A 23,670-nucleotide genomic window follows, 5' to 3' on the forward strand; every position below is an offset into this window, starting at 1 on the left:
TGAAGCAGGGAATACCCAGAAGCAAGCCAAGCTATGCTGCAGAGCCCCAGAACTGCTTGGAACTTAGAGATGCTAAGTATCTCTGAAAGCAAGGTTTGGGGGAGGGTGATAAGTAGGGCTGAAAGAATTGCTTGAAAGTTTTTTACAGGAACCAGTTGAGCTTTCTAGATGCTGCTTTATGCCATCCATTCAATGAGAAACTGTTTCTGCTCCAGAAATGGATTGGATGCTCATTTTCTTAAGAGTTGAAGAAGAGGGAAACAGTTGCATACTGAAAAATGCATATAAAGAAAAGTTTACCTACTGAAAGGCAAACAACTCCCCTCCCTATTCACTTCTGCTCCTCGTTAAGTTTCCAGAAGATAATCTGGTTTAGAGCCCATGAAGATGCTGCACTTTTAACATGAACAGCCAGCCAAGGAGCATCAGGAATTTGAAGGATGCTTCTAACACCAGAAACCAAAGCAACCAAACAACTGAAAAAAAAAAAAAAAAGAAAAGAAAAGAAAAGAAAAAGAGACAATAAAGAGGGCAGAAGAAGAGTTAGAGAAATAAAACTGTATTGGCCAGGCGCTGTGGCTCACGCCTGTAATCGCAGCACTTTGGGAGGCCGAGGCGGGCAGATTACGAGGTCAGGAGATCGAGACCATCCTGGCTAACGCGGTGAAACCCCGTCTCTACTAAAAATACAAAAAATTAGCCGGGCGCCTTGGCGGGCACCTGTAGTTCCAGCTACTCCGGAGGCTGAGGCGGGAGAATGGCGTGAACCCGGGAGGCGGAGCTTGCAGTGAGCCTAGATCGCGTCACTGCACTCCAGTCTGGGTGACAGAGCAAGACTTCGTCTCCAAAACAACAACAACAACAGCAACAACAACAACAACAAAAACAAAAACAAAAAAAAAAAAACCTGTACTAATATTTTTAGAGAGTTAAGAGGTGAGAAGAGGCTCCACGTATAGAACAAGAGCAGAAGGATGTAAAAAGTACCTTCAAAGACAAAATGGAATTTTGAAAACAAAAATATGATAGCAAAAGTAAAACACTAATAGGCGGACTTGTAAATAAAGTTTTGGAAATCTCACAGGAAGTGGAACAAAAAAGCAGAAATGGATAGGAAGTGATAAAAAGTTTGAAAATTAGAGAATCAGACTAGGAGGTATATTGTTTGACTAATAGGAGGTCTAGAAAGAAATTAGAAGACAATGAGCAAGGCCTTCAAAATTAAGAGGGAAATAATTTCTAATACAGAAGTCTTTCCCTAGCCAAACTGTCAAAGAAGGTAGAATATATGAAGTCTTGGGAAATGTACTTCTTAGTTACCCTTCTAATAAAGTTACTAGAAGCTGGGCATGGTGGTATGTACCTGTAGTCCTAACTACTTGGGAGGTTGAGGCAGGAGGATCACTTGAACCCAGGAGTTTGAGGCCAACAGCCTGGGCAGCATAGAGAGACTTTGTCTTAAAAAAAAATGTTACTAGAGGATATGCTCCATTCAAACAAGAAACATATATGCGATCCAGGGAAGAGGCAAAAGGAATCCAAAAAAAGAATGAAGAAGAAAAAATCTCTAGAAAACAGCTGTGCATCAGGCCTAGAAAACATCTAGGTCAGAATGAGGCAGAAGATGAAGTACTCTAGCTGTGATTCCCATAGGAAAAAAATGATACACATGCACCTGATGTGTGCAAATAAATTGAAGCAACAATTAAACATCTGGAGAAGAGTTTGGGAACAAATTAGGGATAAATAGAAAACTGAGCAAACAAAAAAATAAAATCCTTATTAACTCCAAGGAAAGCAAAAACATTGTGCAAAAAGGAAATATAGTCAAAGTACACTGCATGACACAGCTGTAAACAGTGTTTACTTAGCAATGTAATGTAATTATATATGTAGTCATACAATGGATATATTATCTGATGATCTAACTGAAGATTACAATATAACTGTAACAGGAAGATGAGGGTGAGAGGAAATGAGTTTGTGGATGTGGCCTTAAGTTTTTTCTCATAATAGGAAGCCAATAAATAACATCAGAAATTGAAAAATTAAAAATTAGTATTATGAGTATATTATTGGAGATAGGGAGGTATCAGAAGACACAGGTAAAAAAAGCTAAAAGTGGTGGCCTCTGGAAAGAAGAGATGAGAAAAATGAAATTGCTGTTTTTTTTGTCAGAATCTTTATAAAACTCTGTGACCTTTTAAATTATGAACATATATGTCTTAAATAAAAGTAAAAGTCAAGTTAAAAAGTGAATAATTTTTTTTCACATCTGTGAGAGGAGAAATCGTGTTTGAAATCATTTAGGAATCTATATCTGGTTGCATAGCTGCTTGAGCTGTCAGCTTCCATATCTTGTTGGTTTCCCCCCCACACTCTTTATGTTTTCTAAATTAGAAAATCTTAACTCAGAATTATAGGTTGTTGGGAAGCTTTGATGGATATTTCTGGTTTGTCAAATCAAACACAGACCCAGAAATTATGGAGAGAGTGCTCTCTAAAGACTATTTTCAGTGCTTCACCAGAAGGCAAGTGCCCCAGCTCAACAGCAGCTAATGGAGTTGCATCCTCTCTTTGGTGGTATTTGGCTCTGCAAGGTATTTCTTGATGTTGGGTTGCAGCATTCAGATGTAATTTTTAATAAGCCCAATGTGTTATTTCCTAAGTGCTTTTTCTGGTGAATGAAGAAAATCATTGGGTATTGGGAAAAAGTCAAGTTCTCAGCCGTTGAGCCACTTGCACCACTGATGTCTGATTGTTACAAATCCCGATATTCAGGCTCTGAAAACAAAGATTCATAATATTCAAATTCTGAATGGATCACTGAGATACCCAACTTGTATTCATAAAAATGGTAATTTAAAACATTTCATTCCTTATTTTTAAAACTCTGTGTAAGCCCTTCCCATTTGCCAGCCAAAGCAATTCAGTGTGGGAGAGCAGCCTCTCTTACTCACTTTTCATTTCAGCCCAGTAGGCCAAAGAGATGTACACTAAGTGACCACAATCAGTTTGTATTCACAATTTCCACTGTGTACCTCAACAGCAAATCAGAATCTGGAGGCATATTACAGACCCCCAGCTGCGTTCCGTGAATAAGGTATGCACTAGCATTGGGATCTGGGAGCAGCATCTTCTATCTGGATAGTGATACCTTTCCTTGCTGACCATGTGGCTGGAGTTTCTTCAATGGCAATTTAACACCTTTCCTCTTTTAAAAAAAAGTTTTGGTAAAATATGCATAATATACATAACATAAAATTTACCACTTTCACCATTTTTAAGTACACAATTTAGTGGCATTAAGTACATTCAGTATTGTGGAACTATCACCACTATCTGTTTCCAAACTTTTTTATAATCCCGAACAGAAATGTACCCATTAAATAATAACTCCCCATTCCCCCTCTCTGGCAACTTCCATTCTACTTTCTGTCTCCATGAATTTGCCTGTTCTAGGTACCTACTAAAGGTGGAATCATGCAACATTTGTTCTTTTGCGTTTGAGTTATTTTACTTAGCACAATGCTTTGTCAATGTTGTGGCATGTATCAGAATCTCATTCATTTTTAAAACTGAATGATATTCAATTGTTTACATATATACTACATTTTTTATCCATTCATCTGTTGATGGACATATTTGGCTATTGTGAATAACGCTGCTACAAACATTAGTGCATAAGCCAACATACCTTTTAAAGTCTGTTTCATAGGTTCAAACTAATTTTTAATTAAACCAGAGAGCTCTTCTTTTAAAATTAGCTTCATGATAAATAGAACAAAAAGTCACTGAGTCTTTCCCATATATATAGTGAAGATATGCTGACAACTTACTTATTCATAGTTTTGTTCAACTATAAAATAAAATGTCTGCTCGTATACCTAACAGTCATTGACTTTAAATGCCAGTCACATTATAAGGAATGCAATACTTCTAATTAAGGAATTATACCAATTGTTTTTCTTGTTTCTTCTCCAACCACAATATTTGTAATTGATTTGGAAACTGGTTTTGTATCTTACCAGCAGGAGTGCAATTGTGCTTATTTTTGATATGAGGATGAATGATGACTCTATAGTTTTGTTGTCTTCTCAACCTTTAACATAAAATTTTCACAATTTTATACTGGGAAAGCCTTATTTTGTGCTTGTAGTAGAGATATTCAATTGGTTTAAAAGTGGGGTTGATAAACTTTATTGGAAAATAATATGGAAGTTTTGATAGCTTTATATCATTACTTGACAAAAACGTTAGCAGATAATAAATTGGGTACTAGGACAAAAGGATCATTGGTCCAATAAAATTCAATTATCATTATTCATTGTCATGGCTCCCATTTTCTTATATATTTTTGTCTGGTTTTGGGAGATTATCCACATCCATTATCCACTTGTCTCATGACAAACAGATTCATGCTTTGTATTTTTACAATGGAGGCCATTCATTACTTACATTGTGACCTTATTTCACATTGTAGGATTTATATTTCTATTTTTATCATTATTGTTATGCTTCAGAAAACCACTTTCGAAGTGATGACTCTTTTTTTTGAATTGTGATATTATGCAAAGCGACAGTAATAATGGCAAATGCAAGTCTGACAAGTGTAAATAACTGTCAGGTGACAATAAAATACATTAGTCAAGATAAACTGCCTATGATTAACTCCATGTTAACCATTATGAATGAAATCAGTTTTTGAAGCACATACACTGTTTTTGAAAACATAAAAAGTTAGAAATTCTATGAATATAATAATTAATCTTACATGTTAGATTTTAAAATTATATGTGCATAGAGATCCTTAGATCACTTGTTGAGAAACATTGTAGGAGATGGAGAGAGATGAATTGCTCTGCTAAACAAAGTAAGAATAAGTTGGAGTTCCCAGGGACAATTGAGGAGAGAGTTGGAACATCCCAAAGGGACAGTTTATGAAAGAAGATTACAGGCCAGCCTCATTTAGCAAAATAGATAAAATGAAATACACCTAATTGAATCCAGCAAAATGATCAGCTGGAACCATTAAAAATAGACTAACAAACCTGTTAGTTTACAGATTTACTATACTAACAGATGAAAGACTATATGATAACCTCAATAAATATAAAAATACTGATAGAAGCCAACACCCATTCATGATGAAAGTCTCAACAAACAAGAAATGGAAAAAATTGATATAAAAAGTAATTATGAGACTCTCATAAACATCATAATAGTGAAACATTAGAAGCACACACTTTAAAATCAAGAGCAAAATAAATATGCTCACTGTCATAGCTTTGAATTACCATCTTGTTGAAGGTCCCGGCCAATTCAATAAGACAGGAAAAATAAAAAAGTGGTATAAGAATCATAAAGGAAGAAACAAGTTTGTCATTATTTGCAGATAATATAACTGTCTAAATAGGAAGTCCAAGGGAATCTACAGAAAAATTTAACTTTAAGGAGCTCAGCAGGGTTGCTGGATGCAAAATCACTATATAGAAATTAATAATATTAAGACAGTTTAGCAATAATAAGTATTCAATAGGGCAACCAAAATTGCAATGTACCTAGGAAAAAGACATTATAAAATGTAGAAAAATATTAAAGAAGACCTGTATAAATTAAGAGATCTGCCATACTGATGTGTGGGAAGGCTTCGTATTGTAAATGTGGCGATTCTTCCTGTGGTGATAAATCAATTCAGTGCATTACCAAACAAAGTTTCCACAGAGTTGTAAGAAAAGAGCTGGAAAATGTGACCCTTAAACTGATATGGAAAAGTAAAGAAACAAGAACCAAAATAATTTTCAAGAAGACAAATAAGGAGGGGCATGTGAATCGACCAGGTCAAATCTTACTATAGAGCATTTAAATCCACGTGGTGTTGACTCAGGATGTGACAATGAGATTACTGGGAGAAACAGATTCAGTAGACATGGGAATCTGGTGCATGGCAGAAGCAGTGGTAGGAACCACTTGGGAAATGATGTATTGAAAAAAATGTTGGAATAATCCATATGGAAAAATATTGGAAGCCTATCTCATACCACACACATACAAAAATAAATTCTAGGAGATTGAAATACCTAAATGTAGAAAGGAAAACTGTAACTTTGAGGAGAAAACACAGGATAATATCTTTATGGAATACTATATGGCAATAAAAAATGAATGAATTAGGTCTACATGTATCCATTTGGGCAAATCCCAAAAACATAATTTTAAAACATCAGATAAAGCACACATATAAAATGATAACAGTTCCATAAATTTGAAAAGATACAAATCAATACTTTATGCATGCAGTGTTAAACACCCACTTCCCCGTTTGCAGTAGATTCAGCTTCATTTCACATGTTCTTTGCCAGGTGAGAAAACATTTATCTTCTCTACAACCAAATTGCTATAATTTGTCAAAGGTTTTCCAGAATATTGTTATGCTTAGAGGTGAGTGTCCTAGGGTCATCAAAGAGCCCCTTCAATGATTCTCTGAAACCAGGGCATGGGGAGAGTAGGAAAGTTCTAGTCTTGCCCTTCTTAACAATTTTTGACCCCCTGCTCTCTTTACCTTCTGGTGCCCAATCTGAGGAAGAACCTCTAGTTTCTTCCCAAGCAAAAGAGGGGATTAGAAAATGGAATATCTATCTTTATCTTTCCACAAGCAGACAGATAGGCAGGCACGCAGAAAGACATAGAGCTACCATTATCAGCAGGTAATTGTGCAAAGCTAATGTTTCAGCAAGGAATAATGGAAGGGAGGGAAGATAAGGAAAAAGATTGTGTTAAGAACATGGCAATAAGATTGGTTTCTGATTCCTCACTGGCTACAATTTAATGCTTTTTCAAAAGTATACAGCATGATCTTTGGAGCCCCAGTCTATCCCAAGGACATTTATTATCTTCCTCTGGGTTCTCAGCAACATAGGAAACAACTAATGGCTATTATCAATTTGCATTTCAAAAAGAAAATCTAGTCTGATTATTTCCACGAGGCCAAGGATGCTGAACATCATCCAATACCTGTCACATAAATTCCCAGGATTGTGACCATATAGGTAGATTTGTATATGTTATACTTTTCATAGTGTGCATATAAAGGGAATTATGTCAACAGTTCAGTTAATACAAAATCTCCTAAAGAATGGATTTGATAATTACTGGGAATGGAAAGGATCCAACTTTGGAAGACGATTTGGCAATATCTCAAAAATTAAAATGTACACCCCTTTGACCTGGCAATTCTACTTCTAGAAATTCATCCTTAATTTTACTCATATTATGTGTACAAAGATACATGTGTAAGGATACTCACCAAAAAATTAATATGTGGTGGCAAAATATGAGGATTATGTTAATTATGATAAATGTGAATGTCTATCAATAGGAAAATAGTTAAATAAACTTCACTTCATCCATGCAAATGAAATCTGTTCAGCTAATTTCTATAAAACAGCTGCTGCTGGGATTTTTTTGGGGATGTCATTGAATTTATAGACTAATTTGGGCAGCACTGACATTCTAACAATTATGAATCTTCTAATCCAGTCACATGAGACATCCTTTAATTCATTTAGGTACTTTAAAATTTCTCTCAATAATGCTGTATTATTTTTTAGTATAAAGGTCTTGTGCATATTTTTACAACAGCATTTGGATTTATTAGATCTACTGTTTTTCTATTTTGTAATTTATTGCTTTTTATAATTATTAACTTCTTTCTTTCATTTGTTATCCTTTTTCTAGTTTTGTTAGGTCTTTAAATAATTTCTTTTCAGCTTTTACTGATATAAATATTCTATGCTTCCATGCTGTGACTTATTCCCTGAATATGTATGTCTTTAACTGCACTCTCTAGGTTCTGATTAAACTGTTTTTTATCTTTCCTTCCCTCGAAATTATATAATTTTAGTTTATAGTTTGTCTTTTGTCCAAGAATTCTTTAAGAGAGATTTTTAAAAATTATCAAGTGGAAAGTCCTCTCATTTCATTAAATTTGGTTATTTTTTTTAACTCTATTTCATTATGATCAGAGAATGTTTTCTATATTATTTCCACTTTCTGGAGCTTATTGAGGTTTTTGTCATGGCTTAATATTTGGTTTGATATGTTTGGTTTTTTGAAAAGGAGGTGCATTTTCTATTGTTAGGGAAGGTAGTTTGCTATATATTAATCAGATACATTATATTAATTATATTACTAGGTCATCTATAATTTTACATACTTTTTAATACATTTGATCTGTTATTGGCTAAAATTAATTGAAAATTTCTATTCCTACAATGTTTTTATTTATCCTCCTACTCTAATAATTTCTGATTTATAAATATTGTTGCCATCTTATTTGTTGCAAAGATATAGATTACTATCGTCTTTAATATTAATATGTCTGTGCAATTTTTGTCCTATTTCATGCTTTTTGACCGAGATTCCACTTTCTCTGATATTAAAATCATGGATCCTGCTTTCTTTGTTTGCCTTTGCTTATGTCTTTTGAATTCTATAATTTTAGCCTTTCTGTATCACCGTGAGGAGTATTTTTTTTATTCAACATAGAGTTGGGTATTGCTTTGTAATGTAATAGGCATTTTTAAAAATAGGTGAGTAAAATCCATTTATATTTAGTGACATGACAGATTTGCTTAGTCTTAGCTTGTTTATATTATTTCATATGACGTATTTAGTTTTTAAAATATTAGGTTGGTACAAAAGTAATTGTGGTTTTTGCATTGTTGAAATTTGCCGTTTGATATTGGAATACATTCTTAAATAAATGTGACCATGTTATACATCATTTTAATGTGCATTTCTCACTTTTTTTTTTGCTAATGACTTATTACTTGCTGTTTATTTTATATTTATTTTAGACTATGGAAATTATGTTATACAAAAAGCAAATTCGAGCGATTTTCTTATTTGAGTTCAAAATGGGTTGTAAAGCAGCAGAGACAACTCAACATCAACAACGCATTTGGCCCAGGGATTGCTAACAAAGGTACAGTGCAGTGGTGGTTCAAGAAGTTTTGCAAAGGAGATGAGAACCTTGAAGATGAGGAGAGTAGTGGCTGGCCATTGGAAGTTGACAATGACCAATTGAGAGCAATCATCGAAGTTGATCCTCTTACAACTGCACAAGAAGCTGAGGAAGAACTCATCGTTGACCATTCTACGGTCATTCGGCAGTTGAAGCAAATTGGAAAGGTGAAACAGCTCCATAAATGGGTGCCTCATAAGCTAAGGAAAAATGTTTAAAAAATCGTCATTTTGAAGTGTTGTCGTCTCTTATTCTATGCAACAAAAATGAACTATTTCTTAATCAGATTGTGATGTGCGATAAAAAGTGAATTTTACTTGACAACTGGCAATGACCAGCTTGGTGGCTGGACTGAGAAGAAGCTCCAAAGCACTTCCCAAAACCCAACTTGCACCAAAAAAAGTCGTGGTCACTGCTTGGTGGTCTGCTGCCGGTCTGATCTACTACAGCTTTCTGAATCCCAGCAAAGCCATTACATCTGAGAAATATGTTCAGCAAATCGATGAGATGCACAGAAAACTGCAAGGCCTGCAGCTGGCATTGGTCAACAGAAAGGGCCCAATTCTTCTCCACAACAACCGACTGCATGTCACACAACCAACAGTTACTTCAAAAGTTGAATGAATTGGGCTATGAAGTTTTGCCTCATCCACCATATTCACCTGACCTCTCACCAACCAACTACCACTTCTTCAAGCATCTGAACAACTTTTTGCAGGTGAAACACTTCCATAACCAGCGGGATGCAGAAAATGCCTTCCAAGAGTTCATTGAATCCCAAAGCATGGATTTTTATGCTACAGGAATAAACAAACTCATTTCTCATTGGCAAAAATGTGTTGATTGTAATGGTTCCTACTTTGATTAATAAAGATGTGTTTGAGCCTAGTTATAATGATTTAATATTTATGGTCTGAAACCCCAATTACTTTTGTACCTTTTCATTATTTGGCATCTCTTATTTGCTTTTTATTTTTTGATGTACAATTCTTCCAGTATTTAGAGTTTGTCATATTATTTGTTACAAATATATAGATTACTAAAGAGTTTGTATCTTTATCCTAGTGGTTGTCTTTATAAGTAAAAACTTATTATAAATTTATAATTATAATTAAAACCGTGTAATACATTGTCCTTAGTGTACTATTTCTTTAATCAAAATCTCTCATTTCCATTTGGTGATTCCTTTCCTCTCTGTTTTATCCATTATCTGACTGTATTTAATAATATCTTTTTGTGCTTACCTTTGTACTGTCAAGTGTAATTATTTTGTCCATTTCTTTATTTGTCAACTTTAAATAATACTCTTTAACTTCTTGTTATTATAGAAGCAGCAGTAAGTGAACATACTCTGCTCACATGTTCTTTCCTCTTTCTGCTTCCATTTCTTGCTATTTGTATCATGTCAACACTTGCAGGGCCTCTGGGGCTTGTTGGGCAGCGGGGGCGGTAAAATGCCTTTATTCTCATTTTTATCCCCCTCTGGAGGCACCGTGGTTTAACAAACCCTGATCTGCTAAGTGATTTACCACTTCTCCACCCACTTTTGGTCTTCCAAGTGTTTTGACATCATTTGTCCTCTGTGTTTTCCATTCTCTTTCTCTTTGTTCTTGTATATTTATACTGTTCTTTCCCCCGTGCTGTCATTCTATTGGCATTTTGAGAGGGTGGGGTAAAACATATGCATTCTATCTTCCATATTTAACCACAATCTCCAAATAACTCCCAAATAACTCATTTTGCAAAAAAATGTTTTACATTAAAACTCCAAAAGAAGCATAGACATTTTACATGCTATATGATCTCAACAATATTAAATATAATTTCATGATTTTGTGATTTCTCTACTTAGTAACCATCTTCTGATTTATATTTTCAGTGTTCTGCATTTTTTGCAATGGTCATTTATTTTAAAAAATTATTGGGTTTTTATTATGATATGTAACATGCATAATAAAAATGTACATAAAACATAAATTAATTATTTTAAAACAAATGTTTGTGTATTAGTCAGCCTTTGTTGCCTTAACAAAATACCATAGACTGGGTGGCTTATGCAACAGAAATTTATTTTCTCACAAATCTGGAGGTTGAAGCCTGAGATTGGGATGTCAGCATAGTTGGGTCTGGGAAAGACTCTCTTTCTAGCTTATAGATGTCTACCTTGTCCTTGTGTTCTCACACAAAGGGGAGAAAGCTGTCTCTTTCTCTTATAAGGACACCAGTTCTACCACTTAAGGGCTCTACTCTTGTGACTTCATTTAACCCAATCACCTCCTTAGAGGCCCAATCTCCAACATAGCAACATGGGGGGTTTGTTTCAACATTTGAATTTTGAGGGGACAAAATTCACTCCATAGCAGCTTGTGTGACAACTACCCATGCCATAAAATGGAACGTGACCAGCACTTCACCAGCTCCTTCCCAATTACATCCTCCCTCTTCTGCCCTGGAGGCCACTATTCTCCTAATTTTTGGTACTTTTTCTTGCCTTACTTTATTGATGCTTTTTACTTCATAAGTATGCATTCCTAAACAAAATAGTTTAGTTTTGCTTGATTTCAAACTTTATATAAATGAACCTTGTTTATGTAATCCTTTGCATTTGGCTTTTTTTGTTCAATATTACTTTCTTAAGACTCATCCTTATTGTTGTGCAGCACTAAAGTTTATTAATTTTTATTGCTGTAAGTTTTCTCATTTTAGAATATAACAGAAATAGTTAATGTACTCAAAGTTTATGGACATTTGAGTGGTTTCCGGTTTGGGGTTTTTATGGGCAAATGTTCATAAACTTTCTTGTAGCTGTAATCTGGTGTCCACAAGTACATATTTCTGTTAAACATAGGTACCTAAGGGTGTAATAGAAGAATACAGCATATGTATGCTTACACCTTTACTAGATAATACCCCTTGCTTTCCAAAGAGGTTGTCCAAATTTACACTCCCACCAGCAGTGTGTGAGTTTCTGTTGCTCCATGTCATTCCCAATACTTGGTATTGTGACACTTTAAAAAATTTCCCTTCTATGATGAACATGTAATAAAATCTCAGTGTGATTTTAATTTGCAACTCTTTGATTTAAAAAAAGGTTAAGAATACTTTCATATGTTTATGGCCATTTGGATTTCCACTTTTGTAAAGTGCCTATTCAAATTTTGTGCTATTTTACAAGTGGTTGTTCTGACATTTTTCTAATTGATTTGTAGAGTTCATTACTCTGAATATAAGCACTTGCTTTTTCATGCTCTTAAAGTTGTCTTCTGATGAACATTCTTAATTATAGTATACTAAAATGTATCAGTTTTTTCCTGTATAGTTAGTGCTTCTTGTGTCATATGTAATAAAGTTTTTCTTAGTCTGAGGTCATAAAGATATTCCTCTTTGTTTTTTCCTTTCAAAAAGCTTATCCACCACGATCAAGTCGGCTTCATACCTGGGATCAAAGCTGGTTCAACATACGCAAGTCAATAAACGTAATCCATCACACAAACAGAACCAATGACAAAAACCACGTGATTATCTCAATAGATGCAGAAAAGGTCTTCGACAAAATTCAACACCCATTCATGCTAAAAGCTCTCAATAAACTAGGTATTGATGGAATGTATCTCAAAATAATAAGAACTATTTATGACAAGCCCCCAGCCAATATCATACTGAATGGGCAAAAACTGGAAGCATTTCCTTTGAAAACCAGCACAAGACAAGAATGCCCTATCTCACCACTCTTATTCAACATAGTATTGGAAGTTCTGGCCAGGGCGATCAGGCAAGAGAAAGAAATAAGGGGTATTCAAATAGGAAAAGAGGAAGTCAAATTGTCTCTGTTTGCAGATGACATGACTGTATATTTAGAAAACCCCATCATCTCAGCCCAAAATCTCCTTAAGCTGATAAGCAACTTCAGCAAAGTCTCAGGATACAAAATCAATGTGCAAAAATCACAAGCATTCCCATACACCAATAACAGACAAACCGAGAGCCAAATCATGAGTGAACTCCCATTCACAATTGCAACAAAGAGAATAAAATATCTAGAAATACAACTTACAAGGGATGTGAAGGACCTCTTCAAGGAGAACTAAAAATCACTGCTCAAGGAAATAAGAGAGGACACAAATAAATGGAAAAACATTCCATGCTCATGGATAGGAAAAATCAATATTGTGAAAATGGCCATACTGCCCAAAGTAATTTATAGATTCAATGTTATCCCCATCAAGCTACCACTGACTTTCTTCACAGAATTAGAAAAATCTACTTTAAATTTCATGTGGAACAAAAAAGAGCCCGCATAGTCAAGACAATTCTAAGCAAAAAGAAGAAAGTTGGAGGCATCACGCTACCTGACTTCAAGCTATACTACAAAGCTACAGTAACCAAAACAGCGAGGTACTGGTACCAAAACAGATATCTAGACCAATGGAACAGAACAGAGGCCTCAGAAGTAACACCGCATATCTACAACCATCTGATCTTTGACAAACTTGACAAAAGCAAGCAATGGGGAAAGGATTCCCTATTTAATAAATGGTGTGGGGAAAACTGGCTAGCCTTAGGCAGAAAATTGAAACTAGATCCCTTCCTTATACCTTACACAAAAATTAACTCAAGATAGATTAAAGACTTAAACATAAGACCTAAAACCATAAAAACCCTAGAAGAAAACCTAGGCAATACCCTTCAGGACATAGGCATGGGCAAAGGCTTTATGACTAACACATCAAAAGCAATGGTGACAAAAGCCAAAATTGACAAATGGAATCCAATTAAACTAAAGAGCTTCTGCACAGCAAAAGAAACTATCATCAGAGTGAATAGGTAACCTACAGAATGGGAGAAAATTTTTGCAATCTATCAATCTGACAAAGGGCTAATATCCAGAATCTACAAAAAACTTAAACAAATTTACAAGAAAAAACAACTCCATCAAAAAGTGGGCAAAGGATATGAACAGACACTTCTCAAAAGAAGACATTTATGCAGCCAATAAACATATGATAAAAAGCTCATCATCACTGGTCATTAGAGAAATGCCAGTCAAAACCACAATGAGATGGAGTCTCATACCAGTTAGAATGGAGATCATTAAAAAGTCAGGAAACAACAGATGCTGGAGAGGATGTGGAGAGATAGGAATGCTTTTACACTGTTGGTGGGAGTGTAAATTAGTTCAACCATTGTGGAAGACAGTGTGGTGATTCCTCAAGGATCTAGAACCAGAAACACCATTTGACCCAGCAATTCCATTACTGGGTATATACCCAAAGGATTATAAATTATTCTACTATAAAGATACAAGCATGCGTATGTTTATTGTGGCACTATTGACAATAGCAAAGACTTGGAACTAACCCAAACGCCCATCAGTGATAGACTGGATAAAGAAAATATGGCACATATACACCATGGAATACTATGCAGCCATAAAAAAGGGTGAGTTCATGTTCTTTGCAGGGACATGGATGAAGCTGGAAACCATCATTCTCAGCAAACTGACATAAGAACAGAAAACCAAACACCGCATGTTCTCACTCATAGGTGGGAGATGAACAATGAGAGCACGTGGATACAGGGAGGGGGACATCACACACCAGGGCCTGTTGAGGGGTTGGGGGCTAGGGGAGGGATAGCATTAGGAGAAATACCTAATGTAGATGATGGGTTGATGGGTGCAGCAAACCACCATGACATGTGTATACCTATGTAACAAACCTGCACTTTCTGCACATGTACCCCAGAACTTAAAGTAAAATTTAAAAAAGGGCTTTATATATTTGCATTTCACAAAGCAAGTGAGGTGTTGATCCACCTAGAATTGATTCTTGTGTGTGGTGCAAAGTTGGATGTTTAATGTAGTTTTTCCAGTGAGATTCCTAATTCTTCAGCATCATTTTTTGAAGACCGCCTTTTCCCTGCTGTTCTGGGGTGCCACCTTTTCACACATTAGATGTTTACATATGTGTTGGTCTGTTTATGGACTGTCTATGCTGTTACATTATTCTGACCAATCTTACACCAATGGCACACTGCTTCAATTAGAGCTTTATAGTAAATCTCGACATCCAGTAGAATGAGTTCTCCCACTTTGTATTTCTTCCTCAAAAGTTTCTTGGCTATAATTTGCTCTTTAAAATTTCATGTAAACTTTTGAGGAAGAAAATTTAAAGTTTAAAGTTTGTCAAGTAATACCAAAAGAAGCCTGTTGAAATATTGATTTGAGGATCATATTAAATTTATTAATCATTTTTGGGAGTCTTTACAATATTGAGACTTTGAATCTGAGAACATGTCTCCCCACTGATTTGGTTTTCTTTAAAAACTTTACACAATACTTATTATAATTTTCCTTATAGAGATCTCACTTATACTTTGATAATCTTATTCCTAGATACTTGACATTTTAAAATGCCAGTGTAAATGGTATTTTTAAAAACTATTTTCTGTTTGTTGCTAGTGTCTATACACAATTGATTTATGTATGTTAATTTGTACCCAGCTACCTTACTATACTCTTTTATTAATTCTTACTGTTTATCTCTAGGTTATGTTGGATATTTTATGTATACAATCTTATTATCTGTAAATTACATCTTCGGTACTTTTTTCTTCTTGCACTTTTTTTTTCTTTGCTTTACTATGCTGGCTGAGACCTCCTTTACAAAGTGGAACTGAGAAGAACAGACATCTTTGGTTTTTTTTTCTTTTGATCTCAAAGGGAAAGCTTTCCATGTTCACAATTAAGTATGACGCTTGATACTTTAAAACAATGAATACCCTTTATCAGAGTGATGCAATCCCCTTTTTAAAATTATTATACTTTAAGTTCTGGGGTACATGTGCAGAACGTGCCGGTTTGTTACATAGGTGTACCCGTGCCATGGTGGTTTGCTGCACCCTTCAACCCGTCATTTACATTAGGTATTTCTCCTAATGCTATCCCTCCCCTAGCCCCCCACCCCTCAACAGGCCCCAGTGTGTTCCCCTCCCTGTGTCCATGTGTTCTCATTGTTCAACTCCCACTTATGAGTGAGAACATACGGTGTTTGGTTTTCTGTTCTTGTGTTAGTTTGCTGAGAATGATGGTTTCCAGCTTCATCCATGTCCCTGCAAAGGACATGAACTCATCCTTTTTTATGACTGCATAGCATTCCATGGTGTATATGTGCCACATTTATTCCCTTCTATTTCAACTTTTCTAAGAATTTAAAATTATAAATGGAAATTAAACTTTATCAAATGATTTTAGCATCAATTAAGAAGACTATGTGATCCTTTTCCTTTAATCTATTAATAAAAATATAACGTATTTTCTGTTGTGGCATGCATTACTGTTATGATTAGCAAAAAAAAAAAAAAAAAAAAAAAGAAAGCTCTGCAAAGCACCTGTTATTATAACCAAAGGTATGTTAGGTTCAAGCTGGAGTGGAAGCATCCCTCCCAGATGTGTGGATATGGAATGTTTTTGGAAAACTCCCAGATTCTGAAACTATAGGGGTTTCACCCACTAACCTAGGGAAATAGAATAACTTCAGGAATACTAAGGTTACTTTGAGGCATATGAAGCATGATAACTTAAACAGCTTCATTTATGAGTTATTTTCTAAATATACTCCAGAGCCATTTGTTCTTAGTTCTGTCTCAGTTTTGCTCCTGTCTCTCTTTCATAGCAGGCCTTCTCAAAAGCATACCTTCTCTAAGGCATACATTTGTGTGTGCATCTAGCAGGTGAGTGAGTGTGTGTGTGTTGGGGGGGGGTGGGGGCGAGGAGACTCATCTTCCCAGGCCACCTTAGACTTTCTGGGGCTGGGACTCAGGCATTTAAAAAATCTCCCCAAAAATTGCAATATGCAGCCAAAGTTGAGAACCACTAATCTGTATCTCTTTGAAACTGAAAATCATGTATGTTTATGAAACAAATCTCACAGAAGGAGAGACCTGGTTATTACAAAGACATATAGACAATGAGATTCAGCATTACCCACATGAGGCATGGCAGGATAAATAAAAGACAAAGACTGCCAAGTGAAGGAAGAAAAGAAAGCAAAAAGAGATGGTACAATAATGATAGCAAATCTACTCACTCAATTTTCTCTGGAAGGTCAGTTCGGGTCATGCACACACAATTAACCAAAATAGTGACCGTAATAAATAAACTGAACCACCTGAAAGGCCTGTGTTAAGGAAAAGCTGAGATCACCAAGTCTCTGTGATGTCATCTAGGATCACCTTGATGCTGAATGATTACATTCATAAATCTTAGCCAATATTAGCTTTATGATCTTGTCACATAATAACCACTAACATTTACTGAGTGCCTAAGCTAGGCTGAGTACTTTGTCCATGTTACTTCTAATACAACTGATCTACAGGTGGGTATAAATATCTACATTTTGAAGCTGAGAAACAGGCTGACAAAAAATAAAAGTTAAATAACTTTTCTCAGGTCATGCAGCTAGTCAACCATGCTGCAGAGATGTGAACTCTTATCTGTTTGATAACAAACTCTGAGCAAGATAGAAGGAAACAGACTCCCTTTTCCAAAATGTCCTTCTGCCCCGAAGCCTTCATTTCAGTATACAAAATGGCCTGAAATTTCATCTGGCAAATGTCTTTTTTATTCTAAAAGACAAAGAAAAGTTAGAAACTTGGAGATAAGTGAAGAGGTACAAACTTTCATGGGAATTAGTTTCATCAGATTGTTTGGGTAACTTAGTTGAGATCAGTTCCACCGAGGAAATGGTCTTCTGGGTAGGAACGGTGGAGGCAGGCACAGGGAAATGAAATACTGGCTCAGGAAGAAAACCCCAAGTAGGATTAGGCTGGAGTGGAGAACTCTGAATAGCTAGAGTGGAGAATATTGACAGCAGACTATGGGCAAAGGGATTATCAAAAGGGGAGGGAGACATTGAAAGGAAGGTGGGTGGAAGGGGAAAATAGAAGGGAAGAAATGTTGGTGGGGAGAATCTAAAGGTAAATTGTTCCCACTTGGACATTTTTCTTAGGAATAGCTGGGCTCCCAACAGTGCTTCCTAAGGAAAAATAAAACTTGAAGATAAACTTGACCTACAGAGAGAGTACAACACTCATTTTTCAATTTGAGCAGAAGTATTTAAATGTATTTTAGTTTTCTGTAAATGCCTTGATGTGTCTAGTTTTACAGTTACTTAGGAACACATCTATTATGAAAAGGAAAATTCTATTAATTAAACCACATTTTCCTGCTGACTTACAATTAAATTAAGAAATATGCTCACATGGGGGGAAATGTTAATCCAAGGATTAAACTAAAATCGTGTCTCCAATTCTACAAATATTTAAAAGTAATATATCTTATGTATAATATTAGTTATGAAAACATTCATAGCAAATGTGATTAGAATTATATTTTTGGTGAAATATTAATAATAGGGCCCTGAGAATTCTAGTATCTTTTGGGGCTGGAGTTACCAAATTTATGAGATTTAAATGCAGACTTTTGTGAGGAAGAGACCCCCTCAACAGCTTTTCTGTCCAGCTGTGACTCTACCAAGCAATTATTTACTCATCAAATCTCAAGATGAAGAGAATATTCACTGGTCACTTGGTTCTTTTTAGGGGATTTTATTTCTAATTAGCTGTTTCTTACTTATCCAGATGTAATTCAACCAGAATCCATAAAGAGGAGTTTGTATGTTTGTGATTTCTCTTTATTTGTAATTTCCATGTAATTGTATATATTTTGAAAAAGCAACAACTACCCAAGCAGAGACGACACATTGAGAGAATAATTACCCTGATTACTTTCCACCCTACTTCCTCACTGTAGATACTGCTCTACGCAGGATGCAGGCTGGACTTCTTAACTAGCTACATGGTCTTGGATAATTTACTTAATGCCTCTGTGTGTCAGTTTCATTATCTGTAAAATGGGGATGGTAATCTCTACTTCAGAGGCTTTTGAACTGATGATGGTATTGACACTTAGGAAGTATTTAGCAAGTGAGAGACTGTATTGTCATTAAATATCCTTCTGTAGAATCTGAAAATTCAAGATTCAGCTCAGAAAACGTAATTCTTGCTGGCCAGCCAGAAAGAAAAAAATGTAAAAAGAGAAAACGTAATGCAACTTCATCAAGCTGTGCAGCTTCATGTTGAGTGTGCAGATAGATGACTGTGCCAAGGTTACCAGCTCAATGACAACTGTCCAGAAATCCAACAATCTGCCTCAGAGTTAGGGAGCAGGGTAGAACTCTTTTTTACTGAAGCCTTCTAAGAAAAGGCTGGTTACCATTTGTCAGGCAACTGAGGCAGGTGTATTCTTGTACATCAACCTCCTGCAAGCCAGGGCTAAATTTGTCATAAAGAACTTCCAATCCTTCCGATGACCAAGGATCTTAGGTCATTAGGATCTTTCCATTAGGATCACCCAGGAAGATCTTAGGAAACCAAACCAAAGTATCTTTTTTCTACTAGTTTGGCTTGCCTTGCAAAATCCCCTGAAAGCAGCTTCTGACATTACCTAAAACAATTCATATAGTAGACATTTGACCAATGTGTCTCTAATCATTACAGTCTTGTATGGCATGAACATCAGATTATTGACATTTTAAACCTGCTAGTAGTTTTTGAGTAATTTGTGATGTTAACAGTGCCCCATGACCAATGAGGTCCCATTGAGACTATGTGTGCTCTTCCCATCATGGTCTGTTTTCCTTGCCCTCTGGGAGGTGCTGCTCTTTTGCCCAGTAAGCAGCCACTTCTCAGCATGGCTATGGCACAGAGCAACAACTCATGCCTATCTCATCTGCCCAAAGAAGGCTTGGGCCCTCTTACTGCCTGTTGTGTTGTGGGGAAAGCGGACCACACACCGTGGTGAGAATGTGTCTGGGGGCATCAGCAAACCTCCCCTCATAAAGAGGATGTTTTTCAAGTTGTGCATCCACAGGTGTGTCTAGATTAGTCTGAGGTGAATCCAAACCACCTGTGTGTTGCATAAACACTTCTTCTGTGTCTTGGGACTGCTTTGGGGTGTGGGACACATTAAAGGCCCAAGCCATTTTTTCAATCTAATGACCTCATTGTACTTTTGGGATTCAATTGGATAAGGGCTCTGTTGCTAACCTCTAAAGAAGGTACTGGACACAGTAGGCAAGGTCTAATTGTAACACGTGGAAGAGGCAATCGTGCAAAGGATATGAGTGGACAGACACTTTGATGGCCGTTCTTCTGATCAGGTTGAAAGGACTGAATAGCCACAGGGCCCGAGTGGCACTAAACCGGGAAATGGTCCTCCCTTTGTTCAGCACCATAAATGTCTGAAACAAAACAAAACAGAAAGTGGACCTCCAATGAGAAACAAGATTCCTTATACAACCATGTTTTTAAACATGAGAGGCATTATCTCAGGCTTATGAGCAAGAAGGGCTCTGGGAACTACAGGTCAATGAGAGTCAAATGCAGGTACAGAGAGGCAGAGAGGATCAAGGACTAAAAGCCATATCCTCACCCTCTCAGCAAGATCCTCATCTCTGGGACTGACAGTGCACCAAGATGAGCCCACTGAGGGTACTTTAATGGACAGACAGCCAATCCTCAGGCTGGTAAGAGGTGTTATGCCCAGGGGAGGACTCTGGCAACAGGATGGTGAAGTTATGGTTGCATTTAATTTCTCTTCTGACAAGAGAACCATCCTTGTTTTGTAATGTTTCTTCTGTCTCCACCTTCTACATCTCTGTCTCTTAAATCCTCTCCTGGTTTCTCCCTCTGAGGATTTAGGAGGATATGAACTCTTGGCATGGGAGAGGAGGAAGAAAGATATTCAGTGCCTTTTTATTTACTCTGCTAGCCATATTTGAGATGGCTGATTCCTGTCCTCCTAACTCCCAAACATGCATTCACCATTTTTTGGCTCGTAGAACATCAAAAATACAACACAGGTGAGATAATTGTCATGAAGAAGCTCTTGTTTAAACTACTGATTCTCAAACTTTTTGATTTCAGGGATTATTACTCTCAAACCTTATTGAGGACCCCAAATAACTTTTGTTTATGTTGATACCTTTTTGTTTATGCCAGATATATGTATATCATATTAGAAATTAATATATATGTATATATGCTTATATACCTATATATACATAACTAGCTACATGGTCTAGTTGTATGTATATACATAGTTGTATGTATATATATAGTGTATAGATGTATACACACATATATACATCATATGTGTGTGTATATATATCTCATATTAGAAATTCAAAACTCAGGAAATTTTAAAACACGGGAATATACAGGCACACATTCCAGTAGCTTTTAGAGTGATGACATCATCCCCCATCAATAGCCTCTATATTCACCAATGTATGATCATAAGAGAAAGTGTGTGAAAAAGACAAATTACATCCAAGTATTGTTATACAATAGTTTTCATTTTATAAACCCACTAAAACAGTTTTGGGGACACCAGGGGTTCCAAGATCATAGTTGAGGACCACTGGCTTAAATTCATCCTGCTTTCTGTCCTCACCGCCATGCTCCTCCCCCAACCTCAAGATGTCTGCTCTCCACCTGCAAAGAGACCCAACTCCTCTGGAGGCCCCAGGCCAGAGGTCATCCAAGGGAACAGCCAACTTTCCCTGAAAGCTCTGCAGCAGTTATCTGCTTTTGAAGATGTGGGTTTAGTTAGTTTCTATCATAAATGTCATAAAAATTCAAAGAGATCATCAAATAAGTTAGAGATATATATATATATTTTTTTTGGTTGTTAACGGAATCTTTAGCAGACTGCCACATCACCCAGGGCCAAGGAGGACTTTCTGGGCTGGGTGGGACCGAGACTTCCTCTCCAAGAGCTGAGAGCAGACATTCCTACTAGTAGCTCTTACCCGGTGTGTGCTGTAGAACGGATCTAGATCCTCCAGGGGCTCCCCGATCAGTTCTGCTGGGAGCTCACCATAGAACTTGGGCAGCTGGTTGCAGGCTTTCAAGTCCAGCTGGGGCCGAGGCTTCTCTTCTTGGTCCTTCTGCTCCCTATGCTTCTCTCTGGCTTTCTTTGTTCCCTGCTTGGCAGCAATTTGCTTCTCTATCTCCACCAGTGACTCCGGAGTAAAGCGACGGAAGTTGTTAGTTTCGAGGGATCCAATGGGGAATTCCATCTTCTCATTCTTCTTCAGGAAGTATTTATACTCTTATAAGAGTGGACATAACCACAGAGAGGTGACAGCTTGCCCACTGGCCCTGTCCCTCTCATCTGTCCCATCTTGATTGTCAGAACAGCCCTTCTCCCACCCTCATATCTGGCCCCTCCCTGAACTCACACTTGGCTCCTCCCAGGAACCCATTCCCCTGCAAGGCATTCAGGGGAGGCTGTTTATTCAACCCTCCTCCAGGTGCCTCAGGGTTATGTCTTTGCTCCCCATGTGCTTCTATGTCATTGCTTCTTCACCACTTTGTACCATCCTACCACCACCACCAGATTTAGCCATGCTGCCCTCTCTCCTCATTTCCAGGACCACTGAGTTCCAGGCACTCTCCCATATTCATCAAAGACTTTGGTTTATAGTCTACTTTATCTTAAGTCTCATGCTACTTTCTTATCACAATCTTTTATTTATTGACATTGTCAACATTTCTCCACCTGTTTGAATTTCATTTGGACCTCCAAGTTACTGGAGAACTCCAGATTATTGGAGAATTTCATTGGGACCTCCAATTTCTCTGGGACCTCCAGGTTCAGTCTGTGGCTGAACACTTTTCCCCATAACCAGATTAGACCTGTGGTCCACAATTTTGCCACTCCCTCACCCTTATCCTAAATCCCAAGGCTAAGTCAATCTAGAACAGTTCCCCTGAACTGCTGAGGGGTTATGGGGAACCTCAGTATTGCCTGGGAATCATATGGTATCCCTAGTCAGCAGTTTCTTCTAGTCTGAGGTTTCAAATACACTCTTTTCTCACTATTCCCTGTCTTCCCTTGCAGTAAGCCAATGACCATATTTCCTAGTTCATGGAGAAAAACAGAACTCTGCCAACTTCATACCATCAAACCTCCAACTCACCTGTGTCTGCAGCCTTCTTTCCTCCTTCCCTTCTCTTACAACATGAGAGGTATCTTCCTACATTCTAAGGACCATTCCTTTCCCTCTGCTTAGGATCTTATCTCATATCTACCTCATTTTTTTCTCTCTCCTTGTCTGCCAGCTCTTTCCTATCAGCATTTAAAGATGCTTAACTTTCCTCCAACTTTAAAAACTTTCCCTTGATGCAGAGCCCATCCAGGTCTTCCCTCCTCTCTCCTGTTCTCTATTGGCTTTTAATAAAGGACTTACTTCTACTCACTGTTTCCAGTCACTTTTCAGTCTTTGAAGCTTGGATTTTGCCCTCCTATCTCACTAAAATGCTTCCTTGCAGGGATACAAGAGATTGCCTTGTGGCTAAAGTCAGGGGGCCCTTCTCAGTTCTTGTCTTTTTTGTTTTTTTCTTTTTCTTTTTCTTTTTTTTTTTTTGAGACAGGGTATCACTGTCACCCGGACTAGAGTGCAGTGGTGCAATCTCTGCTCACTGCAACCTCTGTCTCCTGGGCTCAAGCAATTCTCCCACCTCAGCCTCCCGAATAGCTGGGCTATAGGCACATGTCACCACACTCGGCTAGTTTTGAA

General features: G+C 36.9%; 1 protein-coding gene across 6 annotated transcripts in view; it reads right to left on the reverse strand.

Annotated features, from left to right (window-relative positions):
- Positions 1-23,670, reverse strand: part of SCN10A (sodium voltage-gated channel alpha subunit 10) — a 119,411-nt gene that overhangs the window by 75,037 nt on the left and 20,704 nt on the right. For 3 of the 6 annotated variants that reach the window (XM_011533994.3, XM_011533993.3, XM_005265371.4), the window contains exons 1-3: positions 21,898-22,167; positions 20,198-20,325; positions 17,113-17,193 (exon numbers count right to left, since the gene is read on the reverse strand). In XM_011533994.3, coding sequence (XP_011532296.1) covers positions 17,113-17,193; positions 20,198-20,325; positions 21,898-22,167 — 479 coding nt within the window. 6 annotated transcript variants of the gene reach the window in all.

The sequence above is a fragment of the Homo sapiens genome, chromosome 3 (assembly GCF_000001405.40).
Source record: "Homo sapiens chromosome 3, GRCh38.p14 Primary Assembly".
NCBI classification, from domain to species: Eukaryota; Metazoa; Chordata; class Mammalia; order Primates; family Hominidae; genus Homo; species Homo sapiens.